Source organism: Homo sapiens, chromosome 9, assembly GCF_000001405.40.
Source record: "Homo sapiens chromosome 9, GRCh38.p14 Primary Assembly".
NCBI classification, from domain to species: domain Eukaryota; kingdom Metazoa; phylum Chordata; class Mammalia; order Primates; family Hominidae; genus Homo; species Homo sapiens.
Genome location: NC_000009.12, coordinates 21,238,790 through 21,240,229, shown reverse-complemented (window position 1 = coordinate 21,240,229; position 1,440 = coordinate 21,238,790). Strand labels below are relative to the sequence as shown.

The 1,440-nt window shown below is 37.4% G+C and overlaps 1 protein-coding gene across 1 annotated transcript; it reads left to right on the top strand.

Annotated features, from left to right (window-relative positions):
- The first annotated feature begins 224 nt into the window (after positions 1-224).
- IFNA14 (interferon alpha 14) lies at positions 225-1,228 on the top strand. The gene has a single exon (NM_002172.3). The coding sequence runs from the start codon at positions 295-297 to the stop codon at positions 862-864; it is 570 nt and encodes a 189-aa protein (NP_002163.2). The 5' UTR covers positions 225-294; the 3' UTR covers positions 865-1,228.
- Positions 1,229-1,440: the final 212 nt, after the last annotated feature.

Here is a 1,440-nt window from a genome sequence, read left to right as displayed (position 1 = left end):
AAATTTAATGGGACTTTGAATTAGAAAGAAATTTCTAAAAAGCCCATGGGGCAGGGAAAGATGAGGTAATACTGAAAATAAAAGTGGTTGAGAAACTGCTCTACACCCATGTAGACAGGACATAAAGGAAAGCCAAAAGAGAAGTAGAAAAAAACATGAAGACGTTCAGAAAATGGAAGCTAGTATGTTCCTTATTTAAGACCTATGCACAGAGCAAGGTCTTCAGAAAACCTACAACCCAAGGTTCAGTGTTACCCCTCATCAACCAGCCCAGCAGCATCTTCGGGATTCCCAATGGCATTGCCCTTTGCTTTAATGATGGCCCTGGTGGTGCTCAGCTGCAAGTCAAGCTGCTCTCTGGGCTGTAATCTGTCTCAAACCCACAGCCTGAATAACAGGAGGACTTTGATGCTCATGGCACAAATGAGGAGAATCTCTCCTTTCTCCTGCCTGAAGGACAGACATGACTTTGAATTTCCCCAGGAGGAATTTGATGGCAACCAGTTCCAGAAAGCTCAAGCCATCTCTGTCCTCCATGAGATGATGCAGCAGACCTTCAATCTCTTCAGCACAAAGAACTCATCTGCTGCTTGGGATGAGACCCTCCTAGAAAAATTCTACATTGAACTTTTCCAGCAAATGAATGACCTGGAAGCCTGTGTGATACAGGAGGTTGGGGTGGAAGAGACTCCCCTGATGAATGAGGACTCCATCCTGGCTGTGAAGAAATACTTCCAAAGAATCACTCTTTATCTGATGGAGAAGAAATACAGCCCTTGTGCCTGGGAGGTTGTCAGAGCAGAAATCATGAGATCCCTCTCTTTTTCAACAAACTTGCAAAAAAGATTAAGGAGGAAGGATTGAAAACTGGTTCATCATGGAAATGATTCTCATTGACTAATACATCATCTCACACTTTCATGAGTTCTTCCATTTCAAAGACTCACTTCTCCTATAACCACCACAAGTTGAATCAAAATTTTCAAATGTTTTCAGGAGTGTAAAGAAGCATCATGTATACCTGTGCAGGCACTAGTCCTTTACAGATGACCATGCTGATGTCTCCTTTCATCTATTTATTTAAATATTTATTTATTTAACTATTTTTATTATTTAAATTATTTTTTATGTAATATCATGTGTACCTTTACATTGTGGTTAATATAACAAATATGTTCTTCATATTTAGCCAATATATTAATTTCCTTTTTCATTAAATTTTTACTATACAAAATTTCTTGTGTTTGGTTATTTTTTAAGATAAAACGTCAAGCCTGACTGTACAACCTGATTTCAAAATAGATGATTTAATCAAGTTACCTATCATAATTTTATTCAAGTTATAGAAAAATACATTTTCTATACCAGGTTATATGTTGCCTTAAGGATGTAAACATGAATATAAAAAATACAGCTCCTGTTCTCTTGTATCTTTGATTT

What these genes read in the sequence shown, in the direction of transcription:
- IFNA14 (NM_002172.3), top strand. Translation starts at nt 295, where the DNA reads ATGGCATTGCCCTTTGCTTTAATGATGGCCCTGGTGGTGCTCAGCTGC.